This window comes from Homo sapiens, chromosome 8 (genome assembly GCF_000001405.40).
Source record: "Homo sapiens chromosome 8, GRCh38.p14 Primary Assembly".
NCBI lineage: Eukaryota > Metazoa > Chordata > Mammalia > Primates > Hominidae > Homo > Homo sapiens.
This window is the reverse complement of record NC_000008.11, coordinates 67402797-67424923: the sequence shown is the minus strand read 5'-3', so window position 1 is coordinate 67424923 and position 22127 is coordinate 67402797. Positions and strand designations below refer to the sequence as shown.

At 38.7% G+C, this 22127-nt stretch overlaps 1 protein-coding gene, 1 long non-coding RNA gene and 1 pseudogene across 3 annotated transcripts in view; 1 reads left to right on the top strand and 2 right to left on the bottom strand.

Annotated features, from left to right (window-relative positions):
- CPA6 (carboxypeptidase A6) overlaps positions 1-2886 on the top strand; it is a 324323-nt gene extending 321437 nt beyond the window's left edge. For both annotated transcript variants that reach the window (NM_020361.5, XM_017013646.2), the window contains exon 11: positions 2233-2886. In NM_020361.5, coding sequence (NP_065094.3) covers positions 2233-2420 — 188 coding nt within the window. In that variant the 3' untranslated portion in view covers positions 2421-2886. The remainder of the gene's footprint in view (positions 1-2232) is intronic.
- ARFGEF1-DT (ARFGEF1 divergent transcript) overlaps positions 1-22127 on the bottom strand; it is a 148035-nt gene that overhangs the window by 66945 nt on the left and 58963 nt on the right. The gene's annotated exons all lie outside the window — the stretch shown is intronic.
- RPL17P31 (ribosomal protein L17 pseudogene 31) lies at positions 17817-18429 on the bottom strand (annotated as a pseudogene).

Sequence of the window (22127 nt, the reverse complement as noted above, 5' to 3'; positions counted from 1 at the left end):
TGCTGAAAAGCTAGAGAGTGTGAGGTCACAGGAGCCAGAAGGAGAGAGTAGCCAGAGGGCTTGTCAGCTGTGTTAAAGGCTGTGGAGACCTTGAAAGCGGGATCTGAGGGGAAAACAAAAAACAGAAAAAGAGGCTAGGCCTGAGGTCATTGGTAATCTTCAAAAAGAAGGTTTAATACACGGGTAGAGGCAATAGCCAGATTGAAAGTGGTTGAGGATGTAGACACAGTATATATAGGTTCTCCCTCGGGTTCTAAAGCAAAAGAAAGAGGAAAAAGAAGAGGGTAACCAAGGGCATATGGTAGGATAATGTGAAGGAAGTGCTATAGGAAAGGGGTCCTTGAGTACTTTGGCCAATGCAGATGCATAATTAATAACACAAAGTCATGGAGAAGGGCCTTTCACTACCAGAGACGACAATAACCAACAGTATCAAGAGGTGACGCATGTAAAAGACAGGGAGCATTTCTTCCTCTGAGCTCAACGGGGGAAAGTCAGAGGGCTCTAATGTCAGTAGAGGAGGCAATGGGGCAATCATCTACAGCAGCAGTCCCCAACCTTTTTGGCACCAGGGACCGGTTTCATGGAAGACAGTTATTCCACGGACAGGGGTGGGGTGGGGGAGGAATGGTTTTAGGATGATTCAAATGCATTACATTCATTGCGCACTTTATTTCCATTATTATTACACTGTAATATATAATGAAATAATTATGTAATTCACCATAATGTAGAATCACTGGGAGCCCTGAGTTTGTTTTCCTGCAATTAGACAGTCCCATCTAGGGGTGATGGGAGACAGTGACAGATCATCAGGCATAAGATTCTTAGAAGGAATGCACAACCTAGATCCCTCGCATGTGCTGTCCATGATAGGGTTCATGTTCCTATGAGAATCTAATGCTGCCACTGATCTGACAGGAGGCAGAGCTCAGGCAGTAATGCAAGCGATAGCGAGTGACTGTAAATACAGGTGAAGCTTCACTGGCTCACCCACCACTCACTTCCCACTGTGCAGCCCAAGTCCTAACAGGCCTCGGACCAGTACCAGTGCATGGAACTTGTAAATCATACCAGTACCAGTCTGTGGCCTGGGGGTTGGGGACCCCTGATCTAGAGTAGTGGGGACAGTGTAACATGAAGATGAGAAGAGAATGGGAAAGTTTCAGTAAGTAGAGAACTAGAAAAGGAACCTACAGCAACATGGGGGCAGAAAAAGACTTCAGTAATGAGGTAGTGTGACTTTATAGTATCTCTACTCAGCAAAGACTTTCTCTAGCTCCCTCACCTAGTGGAAGCAGAGAAACTGGGCCAGGGGTTGAGGATGAGCCAAACAAAAGCAGGAAAAGGACAGGAATGAGGCATGTTGAGGGTCTGGAGAAAAATTCAGTGAAATAATTGGCCATGGCCAACTAGAGAATCAAATGAAACTACCAGAAAACGGAGGAATCTGGAAAATACCAATCTAAGTAAAGGCACAGAATAGGTTAAGCCGGAGTGGAAACACAGGGAGGTGGAAGAAATAAGGAGGTTTTCTGGGGCCAGGCACAGTGGCTCACGCCTGTAATCCCAGCACTTTGGGAGGCCAAGGCGGGAGGATCAGTTGAGCCCAGGAGTTCAAGGCCAACGTGGTCAACATGGTAAAACCCTGTCTCTACTACAAATACAAAAATTAGCTGGGCATGGTGGCGCGGGCCTGTAATCCCAGTTACTCAGGAGGCTGAGGCAGGAGAATCACTTGAACCCAGGAGGCGGAGGTTGCAGTGAGCCAAGATTGTGACACTGCACTCCAGCCTGGGTGACAGAGTGAGACTCCGTCTCAAAAAAAAAAAGACATTTCTGGGAACACAATTTCAATATTCTAGACACTGAAGTGGAGAAGAACTGAGTGATAACTAAAAACAAAAAGAGTTCTCAGTATAGGTTGTTTATAGGTGAATGAAGTGGGGATGAACATAAACGTTTTTGGAATTGAGGTTGAGAAATTTTAGTCTTCGTGCTGGTAAGGCATTCACACGTAGACTGGATCCTTAAAGATGGTTGAAGGGATGATTTATAAGTTCCATGCACCAGATGCCAAGGAACTCCTGTTAAATCATTCTTATTGAAACAGCATTTAATTGGAAGGATTTAGTAAAGCTTAATAAGCGGATACTTTATAGTATATACATTTAGAAAATTATACTGACTCTTTAGTGAGGCTGATCTTTTTTTTTTTGTTTTAACTTTTAGATGTGAGCTCTGGTAGCTCAATGGATTGGGCCTACAAAAATGGAATACCTTATGCATTTGCTTTCGAACTACGTGACACTGGATATTTTGGATTTTTACTCCCAGAGATGCTCATCAAACCCACCTGTACAGAAACTATGCTGGCTGTGAAAAATATCACAATGCACCTGCTAAAGAAATGTCCCTGAGACAGCCCAAGGCTCAGGTCAACTGCCATAGGATTCTGAGCAAGGCCTACTTGGCCCTGGATAGAAATTGTTTTCAAAGAGAAGGGCAGCTGCTTAGAGTGAACATGTCTATGGACTTTAAAAAGACCCCACGCAATTTGACTTTGTGGCAATAGAAAACAGTAAAAAACAGGGCATAGCCTAGTTTGTTATAAGAAAAAGCATCCATTTTCTATCCTTTTAGAGTCTTATTTGATTATGGTGGGAGGGAATGTTTTCAAATTTCCCATTTCTCAAGAAATGTTCATATTAATTGAGGATTTCCCTTCAATAAATCTCATGTCCTCAATTAGGATCTAGGCTAGTAATGATGTTTAATTACTTGGTTCTCATTGGAAATGGAAAATTATGAAATGGAAAAAAACAACTATGCTTCTTAATGTAATAAACATAGGCCGGGCGCGGTGGCTCACACCTGTAATTCCAGCAATTTGGGCTGAGGCGGGCAGATGATGAGGTCAAGAGTTCAAGACCATCCTGGCCAACATGGTGAAACCCTGTCTCTACTAAAAATACAAAAATTAGCTGGGCGTGGTGGCGCACACCTGTAGTCCCAGCTACTCAGGAAACTGAGGCAGGAGAATCGCTTGAACCCAGGAGGCAGAGGTTGCAGTGAGCTGAGATCGCATGACAGAGCAATACTCCGTCTCATATATATATAATATAAAATTTATTAGAACATTAGATTATTCACATCTTCACTTCCTGGTATTAGGTGTGCCATGTATGAATAAAAATACAGCAAGATAGAGCAACATATGTTTAGACTCTGAGAATGCCATTTTTTAAAAAAATAAGTAAACATTAATTGAAGTACAGGCACAGAATTAAGAGCTTTACACTAATCATCTCACTTATTCCCCACAATACTACAATACTATGAGGTATAAACTATCCTCATTTTTCAAATGAGGAAGTTGAGGCTTAGAAATATATTTAAAATCATAGACTTCCATTTCTAAGGCAATGACAAGATAGGTATCTGGACTGCTGGAAATAACTAAAACTTCTAGATAAAATATCATATCTTAGGCCAGGCACAGTGATCCCAATCACAATTATACCTGTGATCCCAATATTTTGGGAGGCCAAGGTGGGAAGATCACTTGAGCCCAGGAGTTCAAGATCAGCCTGGGCAACATGGTGAAACCCCATCACTACACGATATAGAAGAAAAAAAAAATTAGTCAGGTATGCACATTCCTGCAGTCCCAGCTACCTGGGAGGCTGAGGTGGGAGGATCACTTGAGCCTGGAGAGTTTGAGGCTCCAGTGAGCCATGACTGCACCACTGCACTCCAGCCTGGGCAACAGAGTGAGACCCTGTCTCAAAAAAAAAAAAAAAAAAAAAAAAAAAAAACAGGAAGAAAAAATATATATAATTTTTAGAAAATCATCTTAAAGTTATCAGACAAAAAAAGGAAATCCAGGCCAGCCAGGTATTGATTGAAGAAATCTAGAAAGGCAAATGGACCACTGTTATACTGACAGTGTTTGTCTAACCAGCTGAGTGTGGGCATTTTGAGGAATGGGGCCAGAGAGCCAAGCCCAGGGCTACTGCAAGTTGGGAAGTCTAATAGATTCTACTTCTACCAGAATTCTGGGATTCCAAAGAATGATACCTTCAGTGTAAGGGTAAATTAGAAATAAGCCTCCATAGTACTCATAATGGGCCACAAGAAAAACTGACCATTTCAAATTTTGGCAAGAGTGGAGAAGAGAGAAATTGCCACTGAGAATTTGGAACCATGAGGCAGCCTCACACAAGTTTGTGGTCCAAAATCAGACTATCTAAATGGTCTGATAACCCTCTAGCCAAGAGTTTAATTCAGTTTAATCCCAGACTGGCTATACCCCCTAAGCATTTGGTACAAGCAAATACAAATCCTCTTAGAGGATTTGCCTGACCAGAGCATATCATGAACACCAGGATAAAGAGATGAGCCTAAAAACTTCTGGGGTGTTGGAGGGTGGGGGACACTGACAACAGAATGAGGACTAGAGTAGCCTGTAGCTGCTCAACAACACCATTACAGCCAAAAGGCAATGGAGAAATGCCGTCAGAGTTTTTGAGGAAAAATTATACAAAAAAAAAAAATCTAAACCTAGAAAAATTGTCATTGAAATGTAAGGGTAGAATCTCAACATTTTCATAGAAGTGAGGCCCTAAATTACTTACCTTTCTCAGGAAAACCCTGGAGAATGTGCTCTACCAAAATAAGGGAGTATAGCAAGAGAAAGACAAAGGATTTAGGAACACAGGGAAACCAATAAAAACATCTGAAGATCGTGGTGAACGGAAAAGTCCCAGGTAGTAGCTATATGTCAAACTTACAGAACAACTAACTTGGGGTAGGAGGAGGAGAACTGAAGACTTCAGATGAAATTCCCCAAGATAAATATGCAACAGATAGAACACTTACACATGTTCAAAAGCTATTTTTACTTACATTAGAGAACCATGGTATGAATTAGTAATAAAAGCACACAAAACCAAGCAAATAAAAAAATGGATTTATTAACTAGTGGAAACAGTTATACAAGAGAAGAAATAGAATCATGATATACTCTGTGACTTAGCTATAAATAATACTTATATAATCAAAATCATATTAGCCCTAGATACTGATTTAACCAAAAATTATGATATAAATATATCAGAAGGATAGGAGGAAGGGAAATGTATGCAAGAATGCAAGAAGAGGAGGTATAGGAAAGTAAATCCTCATCTTCCATAGAAGGAAGTCAATGGACAAAAAAAAAAAAAAAAAAAGAAGGAAGTCAATGGACAAAAAGACTAAAAAATCAGGAAGTATCTATATATGTATGTTATTTAGAAATAAGAAAGAAAATACTAGAGGAAATAACTAAAAAGATTAAAAATTACCAGACAATGAGAGGGAATAAGTAAGGAGTAAATAATTGTAATTAGTAAGATGAGGTGAAACAAAATACTTGTTTTTAGTATTAGCCTTACCATATTATTTAACTGGTTTTATTTTTTAATATTGAAATATACATACCAAAGAGTATATTCCTTTTAAAGGAAAATAATTTTTAAAAACCAGCTCCCAACTACTCACCACTCAATCTTTCTGATGTTTATAAAATATATCAAAATTAAATTTAAAAGAAATATTAAGTGATATTATATGTGGGGTGCTTAGCACAGAAACTAGAATATTATAGTCAGTATATCTTAGTTTGTCTATGTTTTATCAATCTTAGTCATCTTTTTATTTTGTAGTCCCAGTTATATACCTGCAGGAATGGATCTCAGGCAGTTTTAAGGCTTGGTCCTGCTAAGGAGTACCACACCTGGGAATTTAAACTTCCATTCATTCCATCTGTGGAATTCATCCATCCATCTCAAATGATCTGGGGTGGGGGGTTGTATTATACTAGTTATTTCTACGAGTGTAATAGGCAAAAACCAAAATGTCCAGAAAATCCCAAGGGCTGGAGGCTTGTGAAGACCTTGAAGAATGGAAAGGTGCTGCTTCTCAATGGAACTGACAAGATGCACAGCAATCAGCTAGTGCCCGGTGGCTTTCCAGGACACTTGATGCCAGGAGACTTTCCCCTCTGGTTGGGAGCGTGCTGCCATAGTCTCTGCTCTGAGAGCTGCCTGCATCCAGATCCTTTGCAGGTATCCACTAATGTCTTTCCATCAAATGTCATCACTCTTGTGACAACAAAACAGTAGTCAACTTGGATATTCAGGGGAAACAAAAATCAAAGAATTTACAAATGACCCCCCCAAATTCATTTTTCTTGTTTTTGTTTTTTTGTTTGTTTGTTTGTTTTGTTTTGTTTTGTTTTGTTTTTGAGACAGTCTTGCTCTGTTGCCCAGGCTGGAATGCAGTGGCACGATCTTGGCTCACTGCGACCTCCACCTCCCGGGTTCAAGCTATTCTCCTGCCTCAGCCTCCCAAGTAGCTGTGACTACAGGCATGCGTCACCATGCCTGGCTAATTTTTGTATTTTTTTTTTTAGTAGAGACAGGGTTTTGCAGCCAGGCTGGTCTCAAACTCCTGGCCTCAAGTGATCCACCTGCCTCAGCCTCCCAAAGTGCTGGGATTACAGGCATGAGCCACTGGGCCCAGCCCCAAATTTCTTTTTCATTATATTTTTAATTTTCATCCTTACCAAATCTGTGTAGTAAGGTCTGTTAGCAAGTTAATGCCAAGAACTAAAATGTATATTCTTTTATTTGGCCCTGCACATCACATAGTATTTGTCCTAAGAGTATTTTTTTCAAAGCCAAAATAAGGCAACAGAAAATATAGAATCTGAATAATCCAAAAACTGCAGGGTATATAGTTTCTTTATTATTCATATATACATTCAAGATGAAATTTTGCCTTGATGAACCTCATGCAAATTCTTTTCAATGATTACTCTCGTGTTTCAGTAGTTCTGTATATCTTTTATGGCTTATATTCTATAAGAGTATTTTAATATTTATGGGCTATTTTCATTTTTAATCTTTTTAAATGAAGCCACAAAATATACTGTGGAATGATTTATGTTTAAGGCACTCTGCTAGCTGCTGTGTCTGAGGAACAAAAGTGTTATATTTATGTCAATACTTAAGAATAAAAAAGTTTACTTCAACTAAAAACAGCACATGCACTTTTAAAAATAGTTCAGCAAGATACTTTTTTCCTCACTAGTATAAAAAAGTAATTTCATAAATTCTGGTTACATTGAGTTTCAATTCTCAACTTCTTCAGTTTTAGCAAGTATTTTAGTTTCTTAGGGCCACTGTAACCAAGGACCACAAATTGGATTGCTTAAAACAACACAAATTTGGCTAAGCGTGGTGGCTCACACCTATAATTCCAGCACTTTGAGGGGCTGAGGCATGAGGATTGCTTGAGGCCAGGAGTGTGAGACTAGCCTGGGCAACATAGTGAGACCCTGTGTCTACAAAAAATAAAAATAAAAAAATTAGCCAGGTGTGGTGGCATGCACCTGTAGTCCTAGCTACTCAGGAGGCTGAAGCAGAAGGATTGCTTGACACGAGGAATTCGAGGCTGCAGTGAGCTATTATTATGACACTATACTCCAGCCTGGGTGACAGAGTGAGACCCTGTCTCTAAAACCAAACCAAACCAAACAAATACACATTTTGTCTCTCACAGTTCTGGAGTCTGGAAGTCCAAAATCAAGATGTCAGTGGGGCCATGTTTGCTGTGAAACCTGTAGGAGAACTCCTCCCTTGCCTCTTCCTAGCTTCTGGTTGGTTACCAGAAGTCCTTAGCGTTCCTTGGCTTGCAGCTACAAAATACTAATCTCTGCCTTGGACTTACATGTCCTTCTCTTTGTGTGTTTCTGCCTTAACATTCATCTTAGAAAGACAACAGTCATATTGTTGTCCCACCTTATGGGATCATGGTCCCACCTTATTCCAGTATGACCTCATTCCTAACTACATCTGCAATGACCCTACATTCAGAGGTAGTGGAAGTTAAAACTTCAACGTATCTCTTTGTGGGGAAGGGGGAGATAAAATTTAACCTACAACATTGAGAAACATCATGAGATATTGATGTTAATAAGACTATTTACACAGCCAGAAAGCAGTGACTTTTGCTTGAGTTTAATCTTTAAAAAATAAAACAAATTTTTTAAGTTCTAACACTCCCAATGAGATTTTTTTTAATAGGCTATTAGTGGAAACGGAATGATCTACTCTTTATAGTTTACTTTTGTAAATAATAAAATTATAGTTCAAATTATGATGTGCTCTTTTCAACATAGGAAATGTGTTAGTTTTAGAGTTGTATATTACCCTAGGTCTCAATAATTATTTTGGGCTGCTGCATCATAAAAAGTATTTACAGCTAAGTTGCGCTAGATCAAATCTAATTGATTAAATCAGAATTCTGTGCAGTGTTAATTAAAGTATGCTGTAGATTAAGCACAGTAATTACATGAGCGATTGTATTTAATGCAATATTTTCATGAATCAGAATCAGAATATTGCATAATAAACCTGGAAACAGCTGCACTGAATGCCTAATATATTTCACAAGACACATTGCACCAGGAACTTCTCAGACGTCTGAATAATGCACATGAAAATAAGGCAGCTTGAAGATCTTCTAAGGCAGACCCTAATTAAGTCCTCATTTTCCGCCCCCTGACTCTGTTTCTGCAGTTATGACTTCTAGGACTATTTCCTCTTTCCCCAGTGGATGCCCAATGGGAGTCTCTGCCCAGGGCATCCATCCTTGTTTTACCAGCCCAGGCTAGGCAAGGCAAGCACATCCAATTACAACTTAGGATGTTATAGCGTATACACTGAGTATTATTAACCTTATAATTTAGTTATGAGTTAAACTAAGAGGCTAGCTTCATGATCTATCCATATGACACTGAAACAGTAAGTTCTAAGTTTCAAACTGACTCAATAGTAAATGCTTCCCCATTTGGGAAGAATTGAAAGATAGCAGCAATACCTAGCCCTTCCATGAATGTGAGCCAGCAGTCCAGTGGAAGAAATAATTTGCAATAACCAAATTACTGGTGTTAGGTTCAGTTCTTGCATTTCTATGATAGCTATCCTTTTGGCAGAGACAAAATCCCTGCTGTCCTAGATGGAATTCTTCAGTAATTTGGAGCTGTATTCAGTATTCTAAGGGAAACAATCTGATATCTGCTAAGCAGAAATGGTGTTGCTGGATGTGTTTAGATCCAGCTGTCTATCTCAAGCAATGCTGATCAGAAATATTGTATAAAGTTTTCATTTGGTGGAACAGTAAACGTGAGTAGACAGTTTAATAGCTTTGTGTCAGGGTCAACAAAATTTCATAAAAGAATGAATATTTGAAGTGTCATTGCGCTTGTCACAAACTATCAAGGAAGACACATGAGAATATCCTAAAGAATATCCTAAAGCACTGAGCTCACTAGGAGCATCCGAGAATCACCTAACTATCTGTGACAATAATTTATAGTAACTCTTAGTAGAATTTACTGCTAAAGAATTAATCCTATACTGGGAACCTGAAATCAAATTAATGTTCTTTTTAGACTCATAAATGTGAACACTAGTCTTTATCTTTCCTTTAAAATACCTGTGAGTCTGCTCCTTTTTATTTATTATCTTTAGTCAAGCTGCTTTCCTATAGAAGACACTTGGAACTACAATCAACATTTCAACCCCAGATCTGACAGCATTCTGCATCTTTTAAGACCAGTCAATTATTCCAAGTAGTGCTTAAGTATCACTAATAAAAGTGTCCATCCTGTGACTAGTTACAAGCTTTTAGTGTACCAGTGTCTCTCCCTTTCCCATCCCTTCCCTTAAAGAGAATTCTAGTTTTGCTGGCCTTAATCTGTTTCCTCTGCCTCCCTCCAAGGCAGCTTCTGTCTTACTAGACCAGTTCTTGAGCTTTTGCAATGGGAAATTGAAAGGAGGGCTGAGGAAAGCAGGAGGGAAGGAAGAGGGTCTTTAGACAAGGAATGGGAGCTTTCCCAGGGGCTTTGAGGGGAGGAGGCACAGGCAGCTGCAGTTTGTAGGATTTTGCATAGGAGTGTAAAGAAAAGGGAATTTTTAGGAATCATTGCTGAAGATTATATTTTGCTTTTACAGTGTTCAAACCAATAATTTGAAATTTTGAAATTACTAGGCATTGTTATTTTGGGATGAACCATTTGGATTCTAGTCTTGTCAACATTAAAACTATAGTGGACATTTGCAGTAATTTCTGTGTGGCTAGCACCTTTGAATGCTTTTGTCATGTATAAGAATGTGAAGCTTTAAGAATCCTGCCTTGCTAAGATAGAACCCAAAAAATGTAGTTCTGCAATCTCTTTTACAAAATACAGGCATATGACTTAGGCTCTCCCAGTAAGAATCTGTTCTAGAGTGATGGTTGCTACTCAATGGGTCAAATTTTCAATTATGCAAGACGAATAAGTTCTAGAGCTCCACTGTACAATATCGTGCCTATAGTTAATCATACTGGATTGTGCACTTAAAAATACTTAAGAGAGTAGATCTCATGTTAAATGTTCTTACCACAATAAAAAGAAATCAATATAGGATTTAAAAAAAATTAGTATAGGAAATTTCAGGGAAACAAAGTGGAGCAACTTGAGGAAGGAAATGACATACAGAATCTCTGTGATGGCAAAAATGGCGGCCAAGTTGCTGCTGCGGAAATGGCAGTGTTGGGTGGGGACACCAGCAGTGTCCCTCAGTGCTTGTAGGACAGTTGTGGGGGCCATGGTTGAACACATCAGGCCAGTTCTGCAGCCTGTAGTTGGATGTTATTCCTAAACTCTAAGGCTTGAGCTGGTTCTCTCCTAAATATCCACATAATAAACTCCTTTTCTGCCTAATCGGCTAGCACCAACTTTTGGTACAGGTTGAGCATCCCTCATCTGAAAATTCAAAATCCAAAATGCCCCAAAATTTGAAACTTTGTGAGCACTGACATGACACCACAAGTGGAAAATTCCACATCTGACCTCATGTGACAAGTTGCAGTCAAAACACAGTCAAAACTTTGTTTCATGCATAAAAGTATTTAAAATATTGTATAGGATTACCTTCAGGATCGATACATAAGGTATATAAGAAATACATGTAAATTTTCCATTTAGACTTTGGTCTCATCCTCCAAGATATCTTATTATATATATACAAACATCTCAAAATCCAAGAAAATCCAAAATCTGGAACACTTCTGCATCCCCAGCATTTTGGATAAGGGATACTCAACCTGTATCATTTTATATATATAAATATACACACACACACACACACACACACACACACACACACATATATATATATATTTTTTTTAGATGGAGTCTCACTCTGTCACCCAGGCTAGAGTGTAGTGGTGCCATCTCGGCTCACTGCAATCTCCACCTCCAGGTTCGAGCAATTCTCCTGCCTTAGCCACCTGAGTAGCTGGGATTACAGGCATGCACCACTACACCCAGCTAATTTTTAATTTTTGTATTTTTAGTAGAGATGGGTTTTCACCATGTTGGCCAGGTTGGTCTCAAAGTCCTGACCTCAAGCCATCCATCCGCCTCAGTCTTTCAAAGTGCTGAAATTACAGTCATGAGCCACCTTGTCCGGCCCCTGTATGTGTATGTGTGTGTGTGTATATGCGTGTGTGTGTGTATATATATATATATATATATATTTTTTTTTTTTTTTTTTTTTTTGAGACAGAGTTTTGCTCTTGTTGCCCAGGCTGCAGTGCAATGGCATGATCTCGGCTCCCTGCAACCTCCGCCTCCCAGGTTCCAGTGATTCTCCTGCCTCAGCCTCCCGAGTAGCTGGGATTACAGGCACCTGCCACCATGCCCAGCTAATTTTTGTATTTTTAGTAGAGACGGGGTTTCACCATGTTGGCCAGGCTGGCATCGAACTCCTGACTTTGTGATCTGCCCACCTCAGCCTCCCAAAGTGCTGGGATTACAGGTGTGAGCCACCACACCAGGCCCATTCAATATATTTTACTAAAACAGTTAGCGGTTGAATATGAACATAATGGCTCAGTTTTCCATACTATCTAATTTTAGCCCAGTCATTCTTTGCAGGATCACATAGATTTTCATCGGCCCCTTTAGTTCTAGAACACTAAGTGGAAAAAAAAGTAAGATTTTGTTTCCAAAAGATCAATGAAAATGGCTAGAGTAAACCATGGAATAGACGTTTTCAAAATTCCAAATGTAACTCCTCGTGTAAAAGTAGAGCAGAATAAGACAAGTGTATGTTTGGCTTTTCATGTAGAAAAAAGAAAAGGTTCTGATTATCAGGCCTGGGTCTCTAACTTGCACTCCAGAGGAGGCCTCCTTTGGTTTTGATCGGCAAAATGGGGATAACAAAACCTATATCACAGATGTATTATAAGGATTAAAGGAGGTAACATGGAAAACAGCAGCAAAGAACCTGAGCTCACATTGTCCATACTATGCAAGGTTTTCTAAATTTTACAAATACGTAAGAATATAAGGTAGAGAATGCAAGTAAGCCCTGTCACTGGAGGAAAAAATATTAGTCTAGTAAAAGTATGCAGATCAGATGAGACCCCACTGAGTTAGAAAATGTTTTTCTAATATGCAGAGATCTTCAGTGATTACGATCTTTATTGACGATGGGGAAATCATTAGGTTTCCAACTTGATCTACTTTTCTAACACTCAAACTACCAGACACACAAGCTACTTGGCTAATTAGGAAGTTCATTTTTTTTCTATAGCCCACTGTTGACAAATTTGTCAACTTGGAGAAAAACTGTTTCAATAAATATCTCCTCTAAAAGGAGGAGAAAGTCATCTAAATACAGGCTTTCATGGGAAGAAATATCCCTATTTGGCACTCTGGAATAATAAAAGTTTTATTCTTATAAGTCTAAAATATCAAAACTAGGGCTCGGTGTGGTGGCTTATGCCTGTAATCTCAGCACTTTGGGAGGCTGAGGCAAGAGGATCACTTGAGCCCGGGAGGTAGAGGCTGCAGTTAGCTATGATCACACCACTGCACTGGGCAACAGAGCAAGACCCTGTCTCAAATATAAATAAAGTAACAAAACTAAAATAGTTTATGGATATACTTACCAGTCTGAGTATGTAACAATCTGCCAGAGAAAAATTCATGTCCCAAGGGAATTTGTGTATTTATTCAATAAATGTTTATTGAGTAACTACAGTGTGATTGATACTGCCTCCTGTCAAGGTAATCTACAGGCAAAATTGTAAAGAAGGTAAGTTTTGCATCAATATTTAGCAACTTCTCTCTTAGCAACTTCTCTGTCACCTCTGGATAACCAGCACCCTCTCTTGCCTCCCACTGCTCAGAAAACTCCCCCACCTCCATCACCATCCCCAGCTGAAGCCCTCCCATCCTGCCTGCCATTCCAGGTAGGTCTCAAACTCTGGATTTGTTTCCACTCTTCCTTCTAAAACTAACCCTTCTAGCATGCTGTCATCTGTGGAAAGGGACAGGTAGCTCAGACATGCCACATCATAAAAGAATTTTAAGGCCAGGCGCAGTGGCTCACACCTGTAATCCCCGCACTTTGGGAGGCCGAGGCAGGCAGATCACGAGGTCAGGAGATCGAGACCATCCTGGCTAACACGGTGAAACCTCGTCTCTACTAAAAATACAAAAAATTAGCCGGGTGTGGTGGCGGGCGCCTGTAGTCCCAGCTACTTGGGAGCTGAGGCAGGAGAATAGTGTGAACCCGGGAGGCAGAACTTACAGTGAGCAGAGATCAGAGATCGCGCCACTGCACTCCAGCCTGGGCGACAGAGCGAGACTCCGTCTCAAAAAAAAAAAAAAAAAAGTAGAATTTTAACCCTCTGCACCGAAGGCACCTTCGAGCAGGGGATAATTGCTTAACAACCACAGGAAACAATTTCTAACTATTCAGGAGGATTAGTACACCCTACATTTATCATTTCATACCTGTGTCTACCCCTTCTCTACTGATGTGCAAGGTACATCTCATCCTTGTTTGCAGTCGTTTTGCTTTTCCTGCTTCTTCAGCACCAGTCAGAGACATGCAGTCTACCTGTCCACTGAAGGCCAGGCATGTGATCATGCACTTATTTTCCAGGCCCTCAGGCAGCAGGTCATTTCCAGACCTAAACCATACCCATAGCTTCAAGCCTATAAATAGGAAAGGGGATGTCATGTTTCCTATTCTGGCAGTGTGCCACACAGCCATGCCTGGACTGTAGTCCAAAATTTTTAAATCATTTATGCTTGTGCGCACATAGAGCAACAGACATGCAAGCTTGCATATTTTTACCCTTTAAGTTTTTCCTTTGATATTTACCTGTCTTTGGGGGAACTGACCACAAAAAAAGTCCAAATTAAATAATATAATGTTATTTACACAGTAATATAACCATGTAGTAGATACAGATGGTGTTTAGAAATCTTAAAGGTTGCTTTGCTTTTTCCTCGGAAGCATAAAAGGAGCCAAGATGTGTAACATACTATTTTTTTTTCTGTCCTATTCTCAACGTAGGAGTCTGAGCAGCTGCTATCTCAACAAATACCTAACCTAAATAACTACTTTTAAACATGAAAAAAAAGAAGCTTTCAGGAACCTTCATTTACTGATGATCTGTGCTCCAAGCATTTGTACTCAAAGAATTTCAACAATGGATCTCGTGATAATAATACATAAATTTAATTTATTAATAAGTTTAAATTTTTTTAAGTACATTAACTTTTCAGTTATCTAACAACATGCCTGGGAATTTAGGTAGTAATATCAGAATGCTCCCTACACAGTAAGCCAAGCTCAATAACTGTGCTGATTGAATAATTGCTATACAGTCATTTATAAAAATTGACGCACAGTATATCTATGTGATTCGAGTATGGTTTCTTGTCCCATTAGTGACAGCGGTAAGAATACATGCCGAGCCTTATACTTTTTTTAACTTACTGAAATTTTCAAACATATACAAAAGTAGTATATCATAATAAACCCCACCACCCAGTTTCAACAATTATTAACATTTTGTTTTGCCAAACTTATTTCATCTTTCCTCTTTCAACTTTTTGCTTGTTTCAATATTTTACTTTTTATTTTATTTTTCTCTTTTCTTTTTTTTTTTTTTCCCCAACCTCCCTACTAGCTGGGACCAGAGGCCTGTGGTACCACACCTGGCTAATTTTTTATTTTTTGTAGGAACAGGGTTTTGCCATGTTGCCCAGGCTGGCTTGTTCATTTTTTGGTATAGGGTCTTGCTCTGTTACTCAGGCTAGTCTTCAGTGACATGATCATAGCTCACTGTAACCTCCAACTCCTGGGCTCAAGGGATTCTCCCGCCTCAGCCTCCTGAGTAGCCAGGATTACAGGCACGCACTACCATGTCCAGCTAATTAAAAAAAAAAAAAAATTTTAGAGACAGAGTCTCGCTGTGTTGCCCCAGCTAGTCTCAAATTCCTGGGCTTAAAGTAATCCTCCCACCTGGCCTCCCAAAGCCCTGGGATTACAGGCATGAGCCACTGTGCCCAGCTGCATGTTGCAGTATTTTAAAGCAAATCACAGATGTCTCATTTCATCCATAAATTATTCAGTATACATATATCTCTTAAAGTAGTCCTGTGTGTATTTGTGGCCAATGATCTCCAAACAGTGGCCAAAGGACTCAGACACTCAGCAAAATTTCTAGTACTTTATTTTATTCTTTTCCAATATATGTCTCTCCTGTGTATCCTTCTCCCTCAAAAGAGAAAATCCAAATCAGTAGGCCAAGAAATAGAAAAGTTAAAACAAAGAAAAAATGTCCAGGCGCGGTAGCTCACGCCTGTAATCCCAGCACTTTGGGAGGCTGAGGCAGGCGGATCACGAGGTCAGGAGATCGAGACCATACTGGCTAACACAGTGAAACCCGTCTCTACTAAAAATACAAAAAATTAGCTGGGCGTGGTGGCGGGCGCCTGTAGTCCCAGCTACTCGGGAGGCTGAGGCAGGAGAATTGCTTGAACCCAGGAGGCGGAGGTTGCAGTGAGCCGAGATCACGCCACTGTACTCCAGCCTGGTGACAGAGTGAGATCCCGTCTCCAAAAACAAGAAAAAATAAGTGCAAAAGTTTTGATGGTGGAAATAGGAAATGTCAGCTTCAAAGTTATTTAGAACATTTCAGTATTTTTCAGTTCTATGGATAGCACAAACAAATGCCTCTTATATCTTTCTCCTAGAAGACTAGGTCCCTGGAGAAGTCATGGTGTAGAAACTCCATCCTGGGTACTCCAAAAATCCTGAGGTTGTATAATCTCTCTGTGTATAAATAATATGTTGTGGAAATTGTGGTGTTTAATAAAATATAAATAAAATTCCTGAGTGTCACACCTTGTTAAATATTTATTTGGTATATAAGTTAACGAAGGTTCTCTGATATTACTATTTTATGGATTTATTGAAGTTTGGGTTCTATTCTAATTTTAACATGGAATTTTAATTTCACACTCATTAAAAGGAAATCCATTCACTACAGAGGCAAATAGCTTCCCTACAGAGTGGCCATAAAGTCTGGAAACATAGGCAACTATGCATAATAAATGGTTTATTGATATTACATTACAATATATTATATGTTTGATGTGTTGTCCCTCATTAGCGATGCATAGTTTAATGTGCTAGGCCGAATCACAATGAACAGGATACATTAACATGGCATTTCTAGCAATCCCTGCACATGCATCTGTAATGCATCACCTTAGATCAGTAGTTCTCAGATATGACTCCTGGAATCAGCAGGATCAGCAATGCCTGGGAATGTTAAGAAATGCAAATTTTCAGGGCCTCACCCCAGACCTACTGAATCAGAAACTCTGACTAATAATGTGGGTTTTAACAAGCTCTGCATGTGATTCTGATGCAAGCTAAAGTTTGAAACCCACTGAGTCAGATTTTGTCTCTGATTTTCATGGTGGGTGGTGAGGAGGAACCTGTCTTTTTAGTGTACCTCATGCTTATCAGACTTCGCACATAAAAATACAGGGGGACACTCAATTACACTTATTTATTTTTTTATTTATTTCTTTTTTTTTTTTTTTTTTTTGAAATAGAGTTTCGCTCTTGTTGCCCAGGCTGGAGTGCGGTGGTGTGATCTGAGCTCACTGCAGCCTCCACCTCCCAGATCCAAGAAAAGCTCCTGCCTCAGTCTCCCAAGTAGCTGGGATTACAAGCACCCGCCACCATGCCCAGCCCAGCTAATTTTTGATATTTTTAGTAGAGACAGGGTTTTGCCATGTTGGCCAGGCTGGTCTCAAACTCTAGCCTCGGGTGATCCACCCGCCTCAGCCTCCCAAAGTGCTGGGATTACATGCATGAGCCACTGTACCCAGTCTCAATTAAATTTAAATTTCAGATAAAAACCAGATATATTTTTAGTATAATTATGTCCCTTGCAAGTATGTCCATGCATATACATCCTATATATGCAAGGGATATATAAGTATCCCTTGCATACTTATACAAAAAAATTATTTGTTGCTTATCCAGTATTCAAATACAACTTTTCATTCCATGTCCTAATTTTTTCTGGCTTACCCCATACCCAAGGGTATTCTGGCCATCACGCAGCATACTCCACAGGGCTATGTCATCCAATCCAATTTTAGGAATGATCATCCTACCAGTTCCTCACCACCCTGGGGTCATGTGGTGGTGCTCTCCAGGTTACCTTGCCTCCTGTGTTAAGTGCAGACAGTAATTGGTGGTCACTTAACATAGTGAGACAGGGCAAAGAGCCACCTGTATTTCTAAACTTAGTGGCCACTCTGTAGGTAGAAACATTGGGGGTCAGCTACTGACAAAAGCTACAGAAATGTGTACTGAATCTCATTTAGCTAACTTTTTTTTTTTTAACTTTGTCTTTATTTGTGCTGAATTTATTCCCGTGCCGTTAAGTTTTTGCCTCTTCAGTTTATACTGGGATATCTTTTTTTTTCTGTGCAACATCCTCTTCTGGTTTAGGAACAGTGTGTTCCTTTTCAGCAAGGATCATCTCAATGTGGCAGGGAGAGCTCATGTATGGGTTGATCTGACCGTGAGCTCTGTAAGTCCGATGGCACATCTTAGGTGCTTTGTTCACCTGGCTATGCTTAATGAGCAGAGAATCTACATCGGATAAAACCTTAAGTTCAGCATTACTCTCTGCATTTTTAAGCATGTGCAGCAAAAATTCAAGACTCTTTTTGGGCCACCAACTGTGTGTCCAGCCGCACTGTTTGGCCTGAGAGTACCTACCAACTCCACAATTGTAAAATCAGAATGGTACACAGTTTCTGTAAAGTGACATCTGTCACATACTTGGTGGCTTTCCGTATAGGCATACCCTTCATGGCCCTGGCAGTTTCACAAGTGTTCTTAAAGTGAACATGAAGATTTGAACCTCTTGATTTTCATGATTTCGCGGGGTTTTCTGGGTCAAGTGAATAGCAAACCATTTTCACAGATCACCTTAGGCCACTTAGGGGAAGAGGAAGAGCGGTGACTTCTAGCTAACTTCTAAACTTATGAAATATGCAAACATTTTTACTCTATTTAAAGAGCTTTACTTCATGCAAAGTTCTGTATTTCCAATAAGAAATAATTGCCTATGGATAAAAGTGTTGTTATATCCCTCAGCAGAGCTACATGCTGATGGTGGGTCCTTTCCTATAAATGGCCCTAATAAAGTCAGAAAATTAAAACCAAACCATTTTGAAATGTAAATGTTTGCTGAATTATTCTCACATGGACTTTTCTCTTTCGTTTTTGAACTATTTGTCATCCTGCTTTATCTGTTTAAATGTACATAAAATAAATGCATAGTTTAAATATATAGTTCAATAAATTTTGACAAACATATACCCCCACTCCCATCAAGAACATTTCCTTCATTCTAGAAAAGATGCTCATGCCTCTTTCCAGTCAATACTCCCTCCAGAGGCAACCACTATTCTGACAGTTATCATCACAGAGAAATTTTGTTCGGTCTAGAACTTCATGTAAATGGAATCGCTTTCATTTTTTACATATTCAAACCATATATTGCTATATGGCAGGAAATTTAAACCACATATTGTTTTCCTCTGAAATCACCTATAAAGTGCTAAAGAGAGTGATCGTCCTTTCAATCTCAAGGAGAAAGGAGGGTATTTGACTATAATCTGGCCTGAGGGGAGGCATCAAAACCTGAGGAAGTGACTAGAGGAAGGGGAAAAGAGAGTTTTGGGTCAGGGATCACTGGACTGCCTTCAAAGAGGAGTCCCCAAGTCAGGGTGCACTTGAGCCAGGGGACCCAGGAAAGTATGTCTGTGAGGAGCTGCACCAGATGGGGATACTTCCAGCACCTCAGCAGGGTCTGCAGAGCAACTGCTCAGTTGCCTGGGTAGCAACACCCATCACTAAGCCTCTGGTTTTCAGAAACTGGAATCACACCATCCACCATGTCCTCCAAGATATCTGTAGTAAGGACAGGTATCTATAGCATCTCAGGACCATTAGCAGGGGGAAGGAGCTTCTGTATCTGTATTTTGTGGGCAGACTGGATCATAGTAGTACACCTTATAGTAAGGACAGAGGAATATAGTTACCCTCATTCCAGCTAAGTTAAACATTCATCAGGTTATTTAATATTTTAATGCTTTATAAAGTACCCACTGGAGTAGCATCTAATTATATTTTTTAAAGTCTACTGCCCAGAGAGAACATAAAATTTTAAATGCCCGCAGTATGGAATCTGATATTATCCTCAATGGAAAAAGTATTTCTGTGATGTTCCCTTTTGCTCACATTCCTGGGAGATCCCATGGATAAAAGAGCACATAAATCCAAACAGCCATATTACTAATATAATTTATATAACCATATACAAATGTTATCACTTGAGACAAATTTAGAAAAATACATACAAAAAATAAAACCTTTTTTTTTTTTTTTCCGAGATGGAGTCTCACTCTGTCACCCAGCCTGGAGTGCAATGGTGCGATCTCGGCTCACTGCAACATTTGTCTCCCAGATTCAAGCAATTATCCTGCCTCAGCCTCCCAAGTAGCTGAGATTATAGGAGCGTGCCACCACACCCAGCTAATTTAATAAAAAGCATTTTAAATATACCCCCAAAATGTTTATCCTCTTCAAAAATCCTCACTCCCCCCGAGTTCTCTGAATTCCAAAATCTCTCAACTTACATATTGCAAACTTATGTGTAAATCCTTCAGTGAGGACTCCAAAGTTGCTCTTGCTCCCCAAAAGTATAGTCCATCCCTCTCAGGCCACAAGAGCCCTCACCTTCTTTGTGTTTTAGGAGATACTTGGTAATATTATCACCCATGATACAAAGCCTTCTTGTTTCATTGCTATGGGACGTAGGGTTCTCTGGGAGTAGGTTCCAACAGTTTGAGGCAAGATGTTTATCAAGAATCAATACCTGCAAAGGGGAGGAGGCCAAAGCAGGACTGGACTGAGGAAGTAATTGAACTGTGTTGCAGACCCAGCAAACTCAGCCGGGAGCTCTGGGTTGACTATTGCCCATCAGAATGTCCCCCACAAGGAGAGTATTCACAAACTATGCATCCAACAAAGGACTAATAACCAGAATCTACAAGGAACTCAAAGAAATCAGCAAGAAACAAACAATCCCATCAAAAAGTGGGCAAAGGACATGAATAGGCAATTCTCAAAACAAGATATACAAATGGCCAACAAACATGAAAAAATGCTCAACATCACTAATTATCAGGGAAATACAAATCAAAACCACAATGCAATACCACCTTACTCCTGCAAGAATGGTCACAATTGAAAAATCAAAAAATAATAGATGTTGGCATGGATGTGGTGAAAAGGAAACACTTTTACACTGCTGGTGGGAATGTAAACAAATACAACCACAATGGAAAACAGTATGGAGATTCCTTAAAGAACTAAAAGTAGATTTACCATTTGATCCAGCAATCTCACTACTAGGTAACTACCCAGAGGAAAAGAAGTCATTATATGAGAAGAACACTTGCACACACATGTTTATTGCAGCACATTCGCAATTGCAAAATATAGAACCAGCCTAAATGACCATCAACCAATGAGTGGATAAAGAAAATGTGGTATATATATATATTACATGTAATATATATAATATATATTATATGTAATATATATAATATATATTACATGTAATATATATAATATATATATTACATGTAATATATAATATATATTATATGTAATATATATAATATATATTATATGTAATATATATAATATATATTATATGTAATATATATAATATATATTATATGTAATATATATAATATATATTATATGTAATATATATAATATATATTATATAATATAATATATTATATATTGAGTAATATTCCATGGTGTATATAATATATATTATATATAATATATGTACAAATATATATTATATATAATATATGTACAAATATATAATATGTAATATATGTACATATATAATATATAATATATGTACATATATAATATATAATATATGTACATATATAATATATTATATATGTACATAATATATATAATATATGTGTACATAATATTATATATGTAAATATATATTATATATGTACATAATATATATTATATATGTACATAATATATATTATATATGTACATAATATGTAATATATATTATATATGTACATAATATATATTATATATGTACATAATATGTAATATATATTATATATACATAATATATAATATATTATATACGTACATAATATATAATATATACGTACATAATATATATTATATATAATTTATATGTACATAATATATATACACCATGGAATATTACTCAACCATAAAAAGGAACAAAATAATGGCATTCACAACAACCTGGATGGAATTGGAGACCATTACTCTAAGTGAAGTAACTCAGGAATGGAAAACCAAATATCATAGATCCTCACTTAAAAGTGGGAGCTAAGCTATGAGGTTGCAAAGGCATAAGAATGATATAATGGACTTTTGGGACTCGGGGAAAGGGCTGGGAATGGGGTGAGGGATAAAAGACTATATATTGGGTACAGTGTACACTGCTCAAGTGACAGGTGCACAAAATCTCAGAAATTACCACTAAAGGCCAGACGCAGTGGCTCACACCTATAATCCCAGCACTTTGGGAGGTTGAGACAGGCA